At 43.2% G+C, this 1369-nt stretch overlaps 1 annotated feature.

The window, feature by feature from the left end:
• Positions 639-688: an enhancer, noted in NCBI's record as "active region_19438". NCBI's record gives its function as "activates an Ori minimal core promoter by ATAC-STARR-seq in GM12878 lymphoblastoid cells {active_cell/tissue: GM12878}" and the evidence as "EXISTENCE:reporter gene assay evidence [ECO:0000049][PMID:35858748]".

Here is a 1369-nt window from a genome sequence, read left to right on the forward strand (position 1 = left end):
AAAGTTTATAGCCCAGTAGGGAAGATGTGTAAATATAAAGAAGAAAATGTAATGCATTAAGTCAAATGCAGTCAAAATGTTAGTTTGGAAAAAAAAAATAAGCTTGATAGGTATTGGTGAGGATATGAGAAGCAGAAGGAAGTCTTACACGTTGCTAATGGGGGTGCATGTTGGTACTGCCATTTCAGGGAACAATTTGGCAATCATGCGTAAACCCTATGACTCAGCAATTCCATTTCTGAACATTTACTCTAGAGAATCTCTTGCACATGTACATAAGAAACCAAGTAAAAGAATATTGGTCACAGCACTCTTTGTGCAAAGACTGGAAATAACCACCTCTCGTGGGGAATTAAAATATATGGTTTATTCATAAATTGGAATACTGTGTAGGAGTTAAATAAAATATATGAGGAATGCAGATGAGTTCAGGTAAGATATGAAAGGAGAATGAATAAGATGAGCCAGGCAAGTGTAAAATGGACCACAAGCAGCATATGCTGTTGCAGTGGGGCAAGCTTCTAGCTCAGGAGCTCAGAGAAGACCGCACCCTGGAGGTGAGCTGTGCACAGCCCACAGGACAGGAGGCACGCCACCTGCCGGGACTGGGCTGGGTGCACAGAATTCAGTCACTGAGTTTTACAGCTGGAAGTTGCATCTAGTTGCATCAAGGCCCAGGCAACTTAAGGAGTTTGCCAAGGTTACAAAGGGAGTTAGTAATAGAAGCAAATGAGTCTCAACACTAAGTGTCTGGTGGGCCACTGGGAACATTGCCTTTCCTGAAATAAATGAAATGGGTTTCATATTTGGGGGCCCTCCAGGGTGAGAGAGACTTATGGAATCATTTCACAGAGGCCAGGAGGCAAAGGGAAGAGATAGTGTTGGCTAGTGGAAAGAGCCTGGGTTTTGGAATCAAATTGAGTTTAAATCCAGGCTCTGCTAGTTATTAGCTAATTGATTATGTAGTTTAACTTTTCTGTGTCTCAAATTTTCTCATCTATAAAATGAGAACAATGCTACCTTTCCAAGGAGGTTGTCTTAAGAATTAAACAAGCTGATAGAGTCTGTTCCTAACAGTGGTTAGCATGCGAGATCACAAGAAACCATCTCTGTCACATAGAAAACCTGTATGAGTAAGTCCCAAACCCCCTTTCCCCAGGACTCCTCCAGGAGCAGCCAAACGAATGCCAAACATGCCTTTCTCCTGCTCCTGCAACCAGGGGAACCTCTAGGGCAATTTCAGCCCATCCAATGTCTTTTCCTAGGGCTATGGCTCCTTTTAGTTGTATTAGCTAAACTGAGCTGAGGGTGGACACTTGGGGAGGCCTGTGCTGTGCCAAGGCATTCCAATAGCAGTAAACACACGGCA

Source organism: Homo sapiens, chromosome 3 (genome assembly GCF_000001405.40).
Source record: "Homo sapiens chromosome 3, GRCh38.p14 Primary Assembly".
In the NCBI taxonomy this organism is placed as follows: Eukaryota; Metazoa; Chordata; class Mammalia; order Primates; family Hominidae; genus Homo; species Homo sapiens.